We start from the raw sequence: 18297 nt of genomic DNA on the forward strand, positions 1-18297 counted from the left end.
CCCATTTGTCCCCATCTATAGCCCCCAGAACAAAGTTGGATAGTGAGTAAGTATGCAGTAAATGGTGGTTAAAGGCAGTTTCTACCTCCAGATTATAAAAGGAAAACATCTCATATTCTCTTCTAGTCCTTTTAGGGTGTGTTTTTTTAAATTATGTTTTTTATCCATCTGGGGTTTATTTTAGTGATGAGAATGAGGTAGAGATACAGCTTTTTTTCCAAGTGGCTAGCCAGTTGAACCAACACCATATTGAATAATCTATCTTCCCCCTACTGATTTGAAATGCCACCTTTAGCATATACTCAATTCCCACATGTATTTGGGTCTATTTCTGGACTCCCTATCCTGTCCTGGTGATGGCTCTGTCTGGGATTCTATATTTTTTTGAAGCTCCCCAGGTGATTCTGATGCAGCCAGTCTGCAGATGGTGCTTATCTATGATGAGATATTTTTGTGGATTCTTAGCAATGAAGGAAAAAAGAGTATCACAAACTTAAATTTCTTTCTGAGGGTCCTTCTTTTATTTTGTGATTATGTACTTACTATACTTTTGATTTTAAGATTTTTAAATAAATTAACATTGATAGTAGATTAGTAGATGGTCATTCTGGCTTATTTATTTCCAAGTACTTTTTTTTTTTTTTTTTTTGAGACAGAGTTTTGCTCTTGTTGCCCAGTCTGGAGTGCAATGGCATGATCTCAGCTCACCGCAACCTCCGCCTCCCGGATTCAAGTGATTCTCCTGCCTCAGCCTCCCGAATAGCTGGGATTACATGCACATGCCACCACACACAGCTCATTTTGTATTTTTAGTAGAGACAGGGTTTCTCCATGTTGGTCAGGCTGGTCTCGAACTCCTGACCTCAGGTGATCTGCCTGCCTCTGTCTCCTAAAATGCTGGGATTACAGTCGTGATAGAATTGTATACTTAAAATAGGTGAGTCTTGTAGGCGTGAGCCACTGCACCCGGCCTTCTAAGTACATTTTTAAAGGAGTATAACATAGAGAACATAGAGAAATGTGCACAAACTGTAAGTGTACAGCTTGATGAATTCTCACTAATTGTACACACCTGTATTAGTATCATACGGCTGCTATCATAGATTAACACAAACCTCGTGGCTTAAAAGAGCAGAAATGTATTATCCTACAGTTTGGAGGCCAAAAGTCCAAAATCAAGGTGTTGGCAGCTCTAGAGGAGAATCCTTCCTTGACTCTTCCAGCTTCTAGTAGCTCCAGGAGTTCCTTGGCTTGTGGCAGCATCACACCAGCCTCTCTGCCTCCATGGCCTTCTTCTCTTCATCTCTGTTTCAAATCTCCTTCAGCCTTTCTCTCTCTCTCTCTCTTTTTTTTTTTTTTTTTTTTTTGTTGTTGAGACTGAGTCTTGCTCTGTTGCCAAGGCTGGAGTGCAGTGGCACGATCTCCACTCACTGCAACCTCTGCCTCCTGGGTTTAAGCGATTCTCTTGCCTCAGCTTCCCGAGTAGCTGCGATTACAGGCCTGCACCACCACACCCGGCTAATTTTTGTATTTTTGGTAGAAACGGGGTTTCACCATGCTGGCCAGGCTGGTCTCGAACTCCTGACCTCAGGTGGTCCACCTGCCTTGGCCTTCCAAAGTGCTGGGATTACAGGCACGAGCCATCTTGCCTGGCCAGCTTTTATCTTATAAGGACAGCCAGTCATTGGATTTATGGCCCACACTAATCCAGAATGATCTCATCTCAAGATCTTTAATTCCATCTGCAAAGACCCTTTTTTCCAAATAAGGTCACATTCAGGGGTTCTAGGCTAATATATCTTATTACTGATGGGGAGCACAATTCAACCCATGACATCACCCATGCCACCAACAATCCCATATCAAGAAGTAGGATGGGCCAGGCGCGGTGGCTCATGTCTGTAATCCCAGCACTTTGGGAGGCTGAGGCAGGAGGATCGCTTGAACCCAGGAGTATGAGGTTGCAGGGAGCTCTGATCAAGCCATTACACTCCAACCTGGGAGACAGTGAGACCCTGTCTCAAAAAAAAAAAAAAAAAAGAAAAGAAAGGAAAATAAATAGGATATCATACAATGCCAGAAGACTCCTCCATACTTTGCCTGGCAGTGGAGTGACCACTATCTTATCTTAATTTTCTTCTTCTTCTGTTTTTTTTTTTTTTTTTTTTTTTTTTTGAGGCAGGGACTCAGCCTAGCCCAGTCTGGAGTGCAGTGGTGCAATCACAGTTCACTGTAACCTCAAGCTGGGCTCAAGTGATCCTCCCATCTCAGTCTCCTGAGTAGCTGAGACTACACAGACACACACGACCAAGCCCAGTGAATTTTTTGACTGTGGAGACGAGGTCTCATTATGTCACCCAGGCTGGTCTTGAACCCCTGGACTCAAACAATCTTCCCGCTGTGGCTTCCCAAAGTGCTGGGATTACAGGTATGGGCCACTGCACCTGGCCCAACTTTTTATTTTGAAAAATTCTCAAACCTTCACAGAAGTTGCAGGAGTAGTACAATGACCTTCACTCATAACCTTCATCTAGACTCACCAGTTGTTAATATATTTCTATATTTATAATACTTCCTCTTCTCTCTCTCTATTTATTTATATTTATACATGTAATACTTTTTTTTTCTGAACCACAAGGGAGTTAGTTGCACACATCTTCACATTTCACCCTTAAACCTCCAAAGAATAAGGGCAGTTTCTTACATAACCACAGTACAATTATCCAACATATAATCTACATTCAAATTTCTCAGCCGGGCATGGTGGCTGACGCCTGTGACCCCAGCACTTTGGGAGGCGGAGGTAGGCGGATCACCTGAGGTCAGGAGGTTGAGATCAGCCTGGTCAACGTGGTGAAACCCCATCTCTACTAAAAATACAAAAATTAGCGGAGCGTGGTGGTGCATGCTTGTAGTCCCAGCTACTTAGGATGCTGAGGCAGGAGACTGCTTGAATCTGGGAGGTGGAGGTTGCCAAGATCGCGCCACTGCATTCCAGCCTGGGCAACAGAGTGAGACTCTGTCTCAAAAAACAAACGAACAAACCAAAAAATAAAAAAACCCCACAAATGTCTCCAGTTGTCCCACAGACATCCCTTAATGTGGGCAATTTAAAACATTAAAAACCCAGGGTCCAATCAAGAAATTCACATTACTTTTAGTGTTCATGTTCTCTTTCTTGTGGTCATTATTTGACTGATTTATTTATTTATTTATTTGACAGTCTCACCCTGTTGCCCAGGCTGGAGTGCAGTGGTGTCATCTTGGCTCACTGCAACCTCCACCTCCCAGGTTCAAATGATTCTCCTCCTTCAACCTCTCGAGTAGCTGAGACTACAGGCACACGCCACCATGCCCGGCTCATTTTTGTATTTCTAGTAGAGACAGAGTTTCGCTGTGTTGGTCAGCTGGTCTTGAACTCCTGACCTCAGGTGATCTGCCTGCCTCGGCCTCCCAAAGTGTTGGGATTACAGGTGTGAGCCACCGCTCCTGGCTGAGATCCAGTTTCTTAAATAGGTTCTGGGGCTTTAGAAGTTGGAGGACTAGCTGGGCACGGTGGCTCGTGCCTATAATCCCAGATAATTGGGAGGCTGAGGTGGGAGGATCACTTGAACGGAGACGTTCGAGTACAGCCTGGGCAACAAAGTGAGACCTCCTGTCTTTCTATTTAAAAAAAAAAGGAAGAAGGAAGGAAGGAAGGAAAAAGAAAGGAGAGGAGAGGAGAGGAGAGGGGAGGAGAGGAGAGGCGAGGGGAGGGGAGGGGAGGGGAGAGGAGAGGAGGAAATTAGAGGACCCCTGAGTCAGGGGAAGCTACTCTAGTCTCTAAGGTCAGCCTGAGTGGGGTTTTGGGGTGCTTTGCAGGGAAGAGAGGAACCTCGCCTGCTCTCTTCGCAGGCTCCAGGTCTGCTCTGAGCCCACATCTGCCCGAAGGCATGCCCGCTGGGGTGTTCCTTGCTGAGCGAGTGAGGCAATCCCTGCAAGGGAGGTGTGGTGGTTCTGGCGTGAGCCTGAACCTTGGGGCAAGAGGGAAGGACAATGTACTTCTCAGCCATTGCAGGGTGTGTGTAACCTGCCCTGCCAGTGGGTGACTCAGGCTGAAACCAGACCCAGCATTCACCCTGTCTAAGCCTAGTTGGTTAGTGTCTGGAGTGCTGTCAATTGCTTTACATTTGCCCTTCAGGGAAATGCTTTTGCACTGACAGGCGGGGCCCAGATTGGAGGTTGTCAAATCTGCAAAGCCCTACTCCTCCATTTCCACATGGCAGACTCCTATTCACACTCCAAAACCCGGCCCAGGTAGTGCTCCTGCTGAACCCTTTCCTGACCTCTGACCCCTCCCCCATGGAGTGAATAATGTTGTCTTCCAATATGCACTCTGGAGCCAGACTGCCTGGGTGTGAATCCCTTCTCTGCCACTTACTAGCTGTGTAATCTTGGTCAAGTTACTTAACTTCTCTGTACTTCTACATCTGCGGAATGGGAAAAATTATAGCACCCATTTCACTGGGTAGTTGTGGGGGTTAAATGAGTTATTATACATAAATACTTAGGACAGTGCTTGGCACACAATATGAGCTCAAAAAGAGCTGACTAGTATTACTCTTATTATTATTATTATTTAGACAGAGTCTTGCTCTGTTGCCCAGGCTGGAGTACAGTGGCTTGATCTTGGCTCACTGTAACCTCTGCGTCCCAGGTTCAAGCAGTTCTCGTGCCTCAGCCTCCTGGGTAACTAGGATTACAGGCGAGTGCCACCACACCCCACTAATTTTTTTTTTTTTTAGGTTTTTTTTTTTTGTATTTTTAGTAGAGACGGGGTATTTTTTTTTTTTTTTTTAGATGGAGTTTTCGCTCTTTTCACCCAGGCTGGAGTGCAATGGCGCAATCTTGGCTCACCGCAACCTCCGCCTCCTGAGTTCAAGCGATTCTCCTGCCTCAGCCTCCCGAGTAACTGGGATTACAGGCATGTGCCTCCACGCCCGGCTAATTTTGTATTTTTAGTAGAGATGGGGTTTCTCCATGTTGGTCAGGCTGGTCTCGGACTCCTGACCTCAGGTGATCCGCCCGCCTCGGCCTCCCAAAGTGCTAGGATTACAGGCGTGAGCCACCGCGCCCAGCTGAGATGGGGTATTTTGTATTTTTAGTAGAGATGGGGGTTTCACCATGTTGGCCAGGCTGGTCTTGAATTCCTGGCCTCAAGTGATCCTCTCACCTTGGCCTCCCAAAATATTGGGATTACAGGTGTAAGCCACTGCGTCCGGCCACTCTTATGTTTGTATTTAAGAAATACCTAAGGCTGAGCGTGGTGGCTCATGCCTGAAGTCTCAGCTACTCCAGAGGCTGAGGCAGGAGGATTGCTTCAGCCTAGGAGTTTAAGGTTACAATGAGACATGATCGTGCCACTGCACTCCAGCCTGGGCAATAGAGCAGGATCCTGTCTGTCAAAGAAAGAGAAGAAATACCTGAGAATATAGTGAACACAGCACATAAGTTTCCTGCACCCATGATATGTTCTCAGCCTGTGTGGACAGATAGACAAATAAACAGGAAATTCACTCTGAATGATGAAAAATGTCTCAGTAAGGGAAGTGGTGGGCTGAGGGGAGTCATGGGAGCACAGAAAAAGCCCCCTTCCCAGGTTGGGGTGGTCAGCAGCATTTTCCTGGAATAAATGACAACTCAGCTGAAATATAAAAGATGAATAAGATTTAGCCAGGCAAAGAGGGAGGGCAGAGAGGGGAAGCGTGGGAAGGGTTTGAGGCAGGAGGGATGGATAGTGCAAAGGCTCAGAAGCCAGAGTTCTTGATGTATTTCAAGAACCGAAGCTCAGGATGGAGCGTGGATCCCGGAGCGTGGGTGGGTGGGTGCCCTTGGCATATACACCAGTTATTCACTGTGTCTCTTTGTGATCTGTCTTCCTTCCTAGTGTGTGAGCTCCTGCAGGACAAAGCTCACATCTCCTTGAATTCCCTGCGCCCAGCACCCAGCTCAGCACTCAGCAGGGATTCAATAAATGTTTGCTGAATGGAAATGAGAAATTTGAGAACCCATCAGGGAGCCATCTTGGGCAACCTTTTCATTTGCTTAACCTGTGAATTTGGAATTCTTGTTAGCCTTGGGCTATTCTTAATAGCCAAGTTTATTTGTTTGTTCAGAATTGTCATCTGCTGTGCGTCTCAGACTCCTCTGAATGAGGTGGTTCTGTCCGGGCAAAGTCAAGTTTCTGGCCCAACAAGGTGAAACCTGATCCTTTGAGTCCCTCTCTGGATGCCATTCTGTAAACTTTCTTTCTTACCATCTGTAAACTTTCTTTCTTTCTTTCTTTCCTTCCTTCCTTCCTTCCTTCCTTCCTTCCTTCCTTCCTTCCTTCCCTCCTTCCTTCCTTCCTTTCTTTCTTTCTTTCTTTTTGAGACAGTCTCACTCTGTCACCCAGACTGGAGTGCAATGGCGCGATCTTGGCTCACTGCAACCTCCACCTCCTGGGTTCAAGCGATTCTCCTGTCTCAGCCTCCCGAGTAGTTGGGATTACAGGTGCACACTACCATGCCTGCCTAATTTTTGTGTTTTTATTAGAGACGGGGTTTCACCATGTTGGCCAGGCTGGTTTTGAACTCTTGACCTCAGGTGATCCACCCACCTCGGCCTCCCAAAGTGCTGGGATTACAGGTGTGAGCCACCGCGCCCAGCAATTTTTTTTTTTTTTTTTTTTTTTTTTGAGATGAAGTCTTGCTCTGTCGCCCAGGCTGGAGAGCAGTGGCGCCATCTAGGCTCACTGCAACCTCTGCCTCCCAGGTTCAAGTGATTCTCCTGCCTCAGCCTCCCCAGTAGCTGGTATTACAAGCGCCCGCCACCACGCCCAGCTAATTTGTGTGTGTGTGTGTATTTTTAGTAGAGATGGGGTTTCACCATGTTGGCCAGGCTGGTCTCGACCTCAGATGGTCAGCCTGCCTCGGCCTCCCAAAGTGCTAGGATTACAGGCATGAGCCACCGCACCTGGCCAAACTTTCTTTTTTTTTTGAGACAAGGGCTCGCTCTGTCGCCCAGGCTGGAGTGCAGTCGTGTGATCACGGTTCGCTGCAGCCTCGACCTCCTAGGCTCAAGTTATCCTCCCACCTCAGCCTCCTGAGTAGCTAGGACCACAGGTGCATGCCACCACATGTGGCTAATTTTTTTTACTGTTGTGGAGAAAGGAGGAGGGAGAGGGGAGTCTCATTATCTTGCCCAGGCTAGTCTTAAACTCCTGGACTCAAGCAGGCCTCTCACCTTGGCCTCCCAAAGTGCTGGGATTACAGGCATGAGCCATCATGCCTGGTCATCTGTAAACTTTCAAACTTTGCCTTGTATCAGGTCACCTGGGGATCTTATGCAGGTGAGGCAGATTCTGATTCAGTATGTCTGTGGTCTGGCCCGAGATTCTGCATTTCTGACTGGCTCCCAGGTGATGCCAATGCTGCCGGTCCGTGGATTACACTTTGAGTAGCAAGCCGTTAGACAACATTCACATCTTTCCTGGCCCTCACTGCAATGACGACTTTAAAAGCAGGTTGGAGTCAGGCTCAGCAGGGCCTTGGATGCCAGGCTAAGGAGTTCAGCATTTATTCTGGAGGCAATAAGGAGCTGGATGCTGGGTGCTAGAGGGGCTGAGCTATTGCAAAAACAGGAGAGAGAGGTGGCAAGGCTGAAGCTCAGGCAGAGGCAGTGGGAATGCAGAGGATGGTGGTGTCCTGGGCTGAACTGTGTTCCCCTCAAAAAATTCAGTGTTGAAACCTTAACCCCTAGCACTTCAGAAGGTGACTGTATTTGGAGATAGGGTATTTAAAGAGGTAATTAAGTTAAAATGAGGTCATGGGAATGGGCCTTAATCCAATATGACTGGCGTCCTTAAGAAGAGGAAATTAGGACACAGACATGCACAGAGGGGAGACCATGCGAAGACAAGGAAAGTAGACGGCCATCTACAGACCCAGGAAGGGGGGCTCAGAAGAAACCAGCCCTGCCAGCACCTTGATCTAGGACTTCTGCCTCCAGAACTATGAGAAAATACATTTCTGTTGTTTAAGCCACCCATCTATGGGACTTTGTTATGGCAGCCCATGCAAGCAAATAAATACAGAGGGGCTGGATTAAAGAGGACTGTCCAGGTTGTCAGTTACTTGAATGTCATTGTGGGGGGCTATCGGATGCCATACAGGTGATTTGGAAATTGGGAAGGCCTGGGAATGAATAGGAAGCTGGAGGAGGGGCCCAGAGGGAGGAGCAGGGCTGGGGAGGACTGGATTTGGACCAGGTTACATTGGAGGTGCCACTGGGACCTCGGCAGGTGCTACCCAGGGGGCTTTAGGAAATGAGGCCAGTGGTGCTTTCCGTTAAAGCCAGGCACTCAGGGAGTGAGGAGAAGGAAGAGAATGGTCCTGTATTAGTGGGGGCCCTGGGTTTTAAATAAGCAAAACTGGCTCAGGCTAACTTAAGCAAAAAGGAATGTACTAAACAGATTTCTGGAGGCTCACAGCAGCGATGTGAAGGCTCAAGGCCAAGCTTGGAAGGTGAGCTGGTGTCGAGGGAGACTGGCCCACAGTGGGCACGATCAGGAACGCGTAGCAGGGTCAGCCTGGACTGACCCTGGAGGACCCTCAGGACTGCTGGGCTCTGCTCATACATCAATCCAGCAGTCTCCTAAGATTCAGAGATCTGGGGGGAGCATCCTATGGCCCAAACCCAGTCACATGTCTGCATCCCTGATGCCCGGGGGAGGTTTCCAGTGGGAGGATACCTCTCCATCCCTGGAAGATTAAAGATGGCTGCATGCTCTGTGATACTCCTTTCATATCACAGGAGATAGAGAATTGGGCTCTATCTTCCTCTCCTGGCCTGTGACTGCTTTGGCCAATAGAATACAGTGGATGTGACACTATGCCAGCTTCAGGCCCAGACTTTAAGGGAAGTGGCAGCTTCTGCCTTGGTCTCTGGGAGCCCTGAGTCACTCACTCCGTAAGAAGACTGACTGGAGAGACCACATGGAGATTACGTGGGGAAGGGAGAAGGGCACACTACAGCCCAGCCTTCCAGCTAGCTCTGCCAAGACCCCAGTGTTTTATATACATATTTTTCTTTTTTATTTTAGAGATGGTGGTCTTGCTATGTTGCCCAGGCTGGTCTCAAACTCCTGGGCTCAAACAATCCTCCCACCTCGCCCTCCCAAAGTGCTGGGATCACAGGCATGAGTCACCGCACCGGCTGACCCCCATGTTTTAAATTGTACCTGGGATTTTGTTTTTATTCAGGTATGGCGAGGCCAACAGATCAGGAGATGATTGTCATTGAAAGACAGTTGGTTAACCACAGTTCTCAAGAGGAGGGGGCATGCCATGTCACACAGGGCCACATGGGGAAGTACCAGCATCAGTCAGGAGGCAGAAGGAGGAAGGGGGAAGTGTGGGCCAGAGTCTTCATTGTGATTTTGGTGGGAAGGAATAGGCAAGGCAGGGTAGACAAGCTGGATGGGTTTAGGACTGGCTAGCTTGAACAATTCCCTTGGGTTCTGGGCTATAGGGGTGGTCCCTAGTTGTCTAGTACCTAAGCAGGATGATCTAGAATGGGGGATAGCATCCTGAACTGCAGGAGCTGATAAAAGGAGGTAGGAGGTGGATGGGGGTTATGGAATCAAGATTGGTTGGTTTGCACATTAAGAGGTGCTCCCAGGCAAGATTGCCATCTCTAGGAATTAGCTATCCCTAGGAGGGGCAGTCCCTTTTCGGGTCCATAAGGCCCCTGGATGTCAAAGCATCATAAAATACAGAAAAGAAAAAACACGATTAATAGGCCAGGCGTGGTGGCTCACACCTGCAATCCCAGCACTTTTGGAGGCTGAGGCAGGAGTATCACTTGAGCCCAGGAGTTTGACACAAACCTGAGCAACACAGTGAGACTCCATCTCTGCCAAAAACAAACAAAAAATTTGCTGGGTGTGGTGGCGCATGCCTGTAGTAGCAGCTACTCAGGAGGCTGGGGCGGGAGGATCACTTAAGCCCAGGAGTTAGGGGCTGCCATGAGCTATGTTCGTGCCACTGCACTCCAGCCTGGGAGAAAAAGTGAGACTCTGACTCAAAAAATAAAAAATAAAAACATGATGAATCCATCCAGGAATGGGAGTAAAACACCTTGGACTTTCCAGTCCACACTGAGCCACCAGCTGACTCCCTCAGCTGAGGCCTCAGGCATCATAGAGCAGAAGGAGCAGCCCTGCTGTGTTCTGTCCAAATTTCTGACCCACAGAATAGTGAGATACAGTCACAATAAATTGTTTCAGAGCCTTTAAATTTCGAGGCCGTTTGTCATGCAGGTGTAGATTTCTGGAGCCCCTCCACCCTCCAAGACTCACTCATTAGCAGATTCCTTCCCAATCTCAGAAGGGACTTGGGAAAGATAATTCCATGATTGGTTAAAGACATGACTCCCATGACCATATAATCAGCTTAATTTTAACTCCCATTACAAAGATGAAGAAACTGAGGTTCAGGGAGGGAAAGTCATTTACCCAAGGTCACACAGTGCAAATTCAAATCCAGGTATGCCAGATTCCAGCATCCAGCCCCTTCCACTGTACCAGCTGTCACCTAGTTGGCCTCTTTATGGAGCCCATGGTTGGAGCTGAGAGAGCCTTATGGATGGTCTCCAAACCAGGCCCCCCATGAATCTCACCCGCCCCCTCTCCATGTGCTCCCCGTGTTTTCCCATTGGAGAAATCCCGCATCGCCTCTCATCAGGAGCTGGGCTGGAACTGCTACTTCCAGACCCTGGGAAGCTTCGAGTGCTTCCCTTCCGCTGGCCTTCCTTGCATCCATGCAGAGACTGTGCCATCTTCCCTGCATCCCAGCACCCCCGGCTTCAGGTGTATCAAAGTCCCAGCGCTGCGTGAAGTTCAGGTTTGAACACATCTCAGCAGGCTTTGTGAATACATTAGTTTTTGTTTTCCCCTAACATGCCACAGGGGTGGGAGGAATGGGAGGGGGCACTGGAATTTAATATGCAAATGTATGCAGATCGCATCTAAATGAGGGTGTCCCAGGTTTAATGGGAAGAACAGGCAATCAGAGCAGGCCCAGCCCAGCCTGCAGCCCTGGGGCTCTGCAGCAGCACAGTCAGAAATGACTCTCCGGGGAGGGTGTCTTGGGCTCTTTTACAGAGCGTGTTCTTTGAAGCAATGTCTCCGCAGCACAGGGGAAGGAAGAGCTGCGGAAATTGGTTCTGGATACTTCCTGGCAAAGTGTTCTCAATTGCTTCAACTATGTTGGGGGTGGGTGGGAGAGAGGGGGTAGAATCTCTGAACCTCTCAGTGAACACAGCCAGCAGCGGCTGTCCCTATCAGTGATTTCTAAACCGAAGGAGCTTGCTAACATCTACTTCCAGATCACACTGATTACTAAACCAGAATCTCTTGAGAACCTTTGTTTTTTAAAAGTCCCTGGCTTTAGGAAATACTGACACTAACCAGGCGTTCTTAATCTGGAGACTCTTACAGGTTCCGGGGCCCGGTATAGCAATGTTATTAACCCTTCCTGCATATTAGAATCACCGAGGCTTAAAAAATTTCCCAACGCTCAGGCTGTACCCTAGACCAATTAAGTCAGAATCTACAGGAGGGGAGGTGAAAGTCAGGCATCAGTATTCAAGAGAAAATCCTGAGTGATTCCAATGTGCAATCAAATTTGAGAAGCATTGCTGAACAGGATTCCCACGAGACACTTGTTATACCTGTGCTTGCTTTGGGGCTATTGTTAGCTGCAGGCCCACCACCCGGTGCCAGCTTCAGGAGACCCTCCTTCTAGGAAGGGGACTGGAGGATTGGTGTGCAGCCAGTATGCACTGGTATAGCAGCATTGGTTGTAAAAATACTGAAATATGGCTGGGTGCGGTGGCTCATGCCTGTAATCCCAGTACTTTGGGAAGCCGAGGCAGATGGATCCCTTGAGCTCAAGATTTTGAGACCAGCCTGGGCAACATGGTAAACCCATCTCTATAAAAATTGCAAAAACTAGCCAGGCGTGGTGGAGCGTGCCTGTGGTCCCAACTACTTGGGAGGATCGCCTGAGCCTGGGAGGCACAGGTTGCAGTGAGCCGTGATTGTGCCACTGCACTCCAGCTTGGGCAACAGAGCAAGACCCTGTCTCAAAAATAAAATACTGACATATTTCCCCATCCACTTGTAACTGGGGCTGCTTTGAACTTTCTAAGTTCAAAGCATCACCCTCCCCATCTCCCCAGACCCTGGACATAATCAGTTCTGATTAGTTAGGGCTCCTGAGGACCTGGTTGTTAAATACTTGAACATCACCCCCCGCTATAATGTTGTAGTGAGAAGCACCCACTTTATATAGTCAGAAAGGCCTAGATTCCCACTTGATTTTGGTATGAGTTGTGTGGCTTTTGGACAAGTGGCTTCATCTCTCTGAAGGTCAGTTTCCTCATCTGGAAATGGGGTCAAATGCCCTCCCTATCAGCGTAGGGATGAAGCTGCACTACAGCAGAGGTGGCAAACTGAGCATGCATCAGAATCACTTGGCTGGGCTGGGCACAGTAGCTCATGCTTGTAATTCCAGCACTTTGGGAGGCCAAGGCCAGTGTATCACCTGAGGTCAGGAGTTCGAGACCAGACTGGCCAACATAGTGAGACCCTGTCTCTACTGAAAATACAAAAATTAGCCAGACATGGCCACAAGCACCTGTAGTCCCAGTTGCTCAAAAGGCTGAAGCAGGAGAATTGCTTGAACCTGGGAGGTGGAGGTTGCAGTGAGCTGAGATCATGCCACTGCCCTCCAGCCCGGGTGACAGAACAAGACTCTGTCTCAAAAAAAAAAAAAAAAAAAAAAGGGCCAGGTGTGGTGGCTCACGCCTGTAATCCCAACACTTTGGGAGGCTGAGGCGGGCAGATCACGAGGTCAGGAGTTCAAGACCAGCCTGGCCAATATGGTGAAACCCCGTCTCTACTAAAAAATACAAAAATTAGCCGGGCATGGTGGCGGGCCCCTGTAGTCCCAGCTACTCAAGAGGCTGAGGCAGAAGAATCGCTTGAACCCGGGAGGTGGAGGTTGCAGTGAGTCGAGATCGTGCCACTGCACTCCAGCCTGGGAGACAGAGTGAGACTCTGTGTCAAAAACAAACAAACAAACAAACAAAAACTTTGGCTTGTTAGGTCAAAGATTTCTGGGCCCCACCCCGGAGTTGCTGATTCAATCATTCTGGGGCGGGGAGGATTTGTGTTTCTAAGTTCTCAGGTGCTGCAGGGGCTTCTGGTCCTGGGACTACAGTTTGAGAACCATTGAACTGGAAGATGTATGAGAAAGTGGGCTGGGCCGAGAGTAGAGGCTCAACCCAGGCTTGGAAAAGGGTCAAAATATGTGCCGGTTTCCCTGTGCGCCACATGGACTTCTCCCTCCTGAGCCATTCCCCAGGGCTCTCTCCATCCATTTGTCCAGCAGGGACTGAGCCCCCGCTGAATGCTTAACCTTGGATTTCTCAAAGATTAAGTCCTCTTCCCACCTCTTCCCCATTGTGAGCAGGACCAGATTTACACCTTTAGTGGCTGTGATTACTGAAAATACGGTGCCCCTCCCATCTGTTGTCCAAAGTAAAACAACACTAAACCCTGAAATGACTTCATAAAAAGAACAATAGAGAACTGATTTTTTTTTCCCAAGCTGGCTACTTTGAGGATTTTTTCCAAATATCAAAAACAATATTTTATTTTATTTATTTATTTTGAGACACAGTCTCCGGAGTCTCGCTCTGTCGCCCAGGTTGGAGTGCAGTAGCGCGATCTCAGCTCACCGCAACCTCTGCCTCCTGGGTTCAAGTGATTCTCCTGCCTCAGTCTCCTGAGTAGCTGGGATTACAGGCATGCACCACCATGCCCAGCTTATTTTTGTGTTTTTAGTAGAGACGGGGTTTCACCATGTTGGCCAGGCTGGTCTTCAACTCCCGATCATAGGTGATCCAACTGCCTCTGCCTCCTAAAGTGCTGGGATTACAGGTGTGAGCCACCGCACCCGGTCAAAATCAATATTTTAAATGTGTATTTTGGGACTGCGCCTGCTTTGCTGGGACCCCAAGCATATTCTTACCTGCCAGTGGGCAACCCAGTGTCAAAGGAACCGGTCCCAGGCCCATTCTCTTTCACCTCCATTTTCACATCTCTCCCTGCACAGCACCATCCCTTCTTGTAGACAAGAACTTCTCACCTTAAATAAAACTCCACTTGAGGCTGGGCACGGTGGCTTACGCATGTAATCTCAGCACTTCGGGAGGCCGAGGCGGGTGGACTGCTTGAGGCCAGGAGTTTAAGACTAGCCTGGGCAACGTGGCGAAACCCTGTCTCTACAAAAAAACAAAAATTAGCTGAGCTTGATGGAGCACACCTGTAGTCCCAGATACTCAGAAGGCTGAGGTCGAAGGATGGCTTGAACCCAGAGGCGGAGGCTGCAGTGAGCCTAGATCACATCATTGCACTCCAGCCTGGGTGACAGAGTGAGACCCTGACTCAAAAAAAAAACCCCAAAAAACAAAAAAACCTCCACTTGACTGTTCTCTGCCCTACCAGCTACCTCACTCTTATTTTCCTTTTTTATCTCCAACTTTTCTTTCCTACAGATTTCAGCCAAATAACTCACATCTGTTCCCTCTGTTGGTTCCTAAACATAACTCCTCCAGCCTGGCTTCTGGGCAATCACCCCTCCCTGCCCCTAGACTGCTGCCCCCATGGACTTCCTTTTTGCGAGAGCCAGTGACCTGATCTTAGCACGGGATTGGGAGTCAGAAGGCCTAGGCAGCTGGTCACTCACCAGCTGTGTGACCGTGAGCAACTTAAAGCACTTCTCTGAGCCATGGGTATGAACGTTAATTTGCAAAGTTGAGATGAGAGCATTAGAGTAATAGAATCATAATAGCTAAACTGTGTGTGTGTGTGTGTGTGTACCTGCTAAGAGCCAGGCACTGTGCTGAGAATTTGCCATGTATAATCACATTTAATCCCCACTACAACACCTCCAAATGAGGTCTGCTTCTTTCCCCACTTTACAAATGAGAAAAGGGAGGCACAGAGAGGTAAAGTGATTTGCCTAAAGTCCCACAGCCCATAAATGATAGGTAGTAGAATATGAACCCAGGAGGTCTGATTCCAAAATTTATGCCCTATGGCTTCCTTACTGACGGTGCTCAGTACAGATAAGTGGGAGGTGTGACTTGGTGTTAATAGGGACTCTAAGAGTCAGTGTGGGAATTGCCATTCCCCTGAAGCTAGGGATGGCAGGTGTGTTTGTGGGTTGGGGGTGGGGTACTTGAGTGATGCTCTCCCCTGAGGCAATGTCTTGCAGGATACACACCTTTCTACTTCATCTCAGATTTCAGTGTCTCCTCCACATCCTGCCAGAGCCTCTCTGGCCTGGCTGCCCCTCCCCTCTCTGGCAGGTTTGGGAGAAAGAGGCTTGGAGTTCCCCCATCCTAGATAGCGGGACAGATTCCTCATCTCGTGAGGCTGACCCTGATCTGGGGGCCTGTTATTAATAATGGCCTGCAGGGCTGTGTCATCCAGCTAGTGATTCAGGACTCCAGGGTCAGCACCCTCCCCATCCTGATGGAGCTACCTCAGTGAGGGGCTTAGAGTCTAAGCTATGACTCTACGTGAGGGTATATGCTGTTCTCTGCCTGCACTCCCAGGGTCTTGGCTAAACTCTATTGTGGTATTAAAAAGAGAGGCTGGGGGAAGTGGGGAAGGGGATGTGGTAACCAGAACCACTTCCTGCCACTGCAGTGTTGAAAGCCAAGCTCTGTCCAAGTTCCCCTTGATGGGGGTTGGGGAGCCAGGAGGTAAAGGAGGAAGTTGATGGGAGTTGGGGGGGATGTTAAAAAAAGGAGGATTCTTATTTGGATTGACTCCAGGAATCAAGATCTGGGTTTCCTGGCTGCTCTCTCCCTGCTCCCATTTGGTAAAAAACAGCGGCTGTCCTGAAGGTGGTCCTAATTAGCATAGCAGTGAACACTTATTATCATGTGCCAGGCACTTTATATTTGCTAACACTTTGAGCCTTACAACCACCCCATGAAGGAAGCACTATTATTACTCCAATTTTACAGATGGGGAAACTGAGGCACTGAAATGTTGTGTCAGTTGCCCTTGTCACACAGCAAGTCAGTGGCAGAGCTGAGATTTGAACTTAGGCAGCCTGGCTCCAGAGTGCAGGCTCTTGCTCTGTGACCACTCTGAGCCTCAGTTTCCTCATTGCATGATGAGGGTAATTGGAATACATAAATCCACTTTCCTTTCTTGATGCCTGATTCTCTGGTAATTAATTATTCATTCAATTTCTCCCCATGCTGAACTCTCAGATCCATGAACAATGAGACAAAGGCTATCTTGGTCACTACTTGTATTCCCAATTCTTAGCATAATGATTGGCCTAGAAAAACTCAACTAGAATGTGTTGAGTAAATGGTCTTTAAAAGGTCTGAAGATCATCAACAATGGTTTGAGTATCTGATAAAAGTTTTAGACCCTTTACATAGAAAAATCAACATATACCAGTAGCTGGGGGTGAGTCTGCCCCTCCCACTCACCCAGGGTACATTTGGCAATGTTTGGTAACATTTCTGGTTGTCACAACTGGCAGGGGGAGGTGCTACTGGCATCCAGTGGGTAGGGGTCAGGGACGCTGCTAAACATCCTACAATGCACACGACAGCCCCAAGTGCCAATAGTGCTAAGTTTGAGCTATGTGACATACATACATAGATATGTATTGTATGTCATGTTTGGTACCATTGATGGCAAGTGGGGGGTAGTTAACGGATTTTCCTAAAAGCCCGTGTCTGCCACCCAGATGAAGATCCTCCAGATTGGAAGATCTGTTCCTCTAAACTCATATTACTCTATGACCTCACATTCCCGAGTCTAGAATCTAGTTCCTCCTGGGTCCCCTGTCCTAGCCTCTGATTCCCTAAATGCCTGGGCCTCCTCTCTTACCTTCAGTGGGTAGCAGGGGACCAGAGGAGAAGCATCCAGGTTTTATGTGCTGCCCCTGTCACCGCATCCACCTACCCACTTCTATACCTGGGTCATCACAGTTCCCTGTAAATGGTAATAAAGATGAAAAGCTTCAGAGCCAGGCAGTTCTGGGCTTGAACACTAGTTCTGTGGATTAACTCGCTCTGTGATCACAGGCAAATTCCTTAACTCTCTGAGCCTTAGTTTCCCCCTCTGAAAACAGGAGGGATACTCATTAAACTTACCTTACAGGTGGTGAGGATGAAACGAGAGGCTTATAGAGAACTTATTACGGTGCTTGACACAGTAAATCTCAAAAAATGCATTATTATTATTATGGTTCAGAGGTAAAGTGACTTGCCCAAGGTCACATAGCTGGAAAATGGCAGAGCCGGGATGGAAATCCAGGACTTCGTGACTGCAAAGCAGATGTTCATTGGTTAGTGAACTTTAGAACTTCAACTTTTCTGTAAAGGAAGTTAATTATCTCCATCTCACAGTCTCATTTATTAGATAAGCATATAAAATGCCTGGCACATAGTAGGCCCTTTAAATACAGCTTATTGGGCCGGGCGCCATGGCTCATGCCCGTAATCCTAGCACTTTGGGAGGCCAGGTGGGCAGATCACTTGAGTCAGAAGTTCGAAACCAGCCTGGTCAACGTAGTGAAACCCCATCTCTACTAAAAATACAAAAAATTTAGCCAGGCGTGGTGGCGCACGCCTATAATACCAGCTACTCGGGAGGCTGAGGCAGGAGAATTGCTTGAACCCGGGAGGCAGATGTTGCAGTGAGCCGAGATCACGCCACTGCACTCCAGCCTGGGTGACAGAGTGATACTACACCCCCCAAAAATAAAATAAAATAAATAAATACAACTTTTTGAGTTGTTAGCAGGTTTTTCCCAAATAGGGCTTTGAAGAAGGTGAATATAGACCCTGCCCGATGCCGGCTGGCTAGGAAGAAAGGAGTGAGGGAGGCTGCTGGTGTGGGAGGCTTGGGAGGGAGGCTTGGCATAAGTGTGATAATTGGGGCTGGAGATTTGGCTGCATGGAGCAGGGCTGGAGAACTGAAAGGGCTCCTATAGATTATTTTCCCCCATATCCTGCCCCAATTTGCAGTTGAAGAATCCTAAGCTGACAAAGGGGAAGGCATTTACTCCAGGTTACACTGCAGCTTAGAGCCCAATAACCTGGTTTGGTGATTCCAAGTTAGAATCATGGTCTTTTGGCAGGGTCTCGCTCTGTTGCCCAGGCTGGAGTGCA

At 48.2% G+C, this 18297-nt stretch overlaps 3 annotated features.

Moving 5' to 3' along the window:
* Window positions 5832-6339: an enhancer, noted in NCBI's record as "H3K27ac-H3K4me1 hESC enhancer chr20:44624055-44624562 (GRCh37/hg19 assembly coordinates)". NCBI's record gives its function as "activates a minimal SCP1, AML or CMV promoter by ChIP-STARR-seq in primed H9 embryonic stem cells {active_cell/tissue: H9 hESC(primed)}" and the evidence as "EXISTENCE:reporter gene assay evidence [ECO:0000049][PMID:30033119]".
* Window positions 14428-15079: an enhancer, noted in NCBI's record as "H3K27ac-H3K4me1 hESC enhancer chr20:44632651-44633302 (GRCh37/hg19 assembly coordinates)". NCBI's record gives its function as "activates a minimal SCP1, AML or CMV promoter by ChIP-STARR-seq in primed H9 embryonic stem cells {active_cell/tissue: H9 hESC(primed)}" and the evidence as "EXISTENCE:reporter gene assay evidence [ECO:0000049][PMID:30033119]".
* Window positions 15080-15731: an enhancer, noted in NCBI's record as "H3K27ac hESC enhancer chr20:44633303-44633954 (GRCh37/hg19 assembly coordinates)". NCBI's record gives its function as "activates a minimal SCP1, AML or CMV promoter by ChIP-STARR-seq in primed H9 embryonic stem cells {active_cell/tissue: H9 hESC(primed)}" and the evidence as "EXISTENCE:reporter gene assay evidence [ECO:0000049][PMID:30033119]".

This window comes from Homo sapiens, chromosome 20 (genome assembly GCF_000001405.40).
Source record: "Homo sapiens chromosome 20, GRCh38.p14 Primary Assembly".
Classification (NCBI taxonomy): domain Eukaryota; kingdom Metazoa; phylum Chordata; class Mammalia; order Primates; family Hominidae; genus Homo; species Homo sapiens.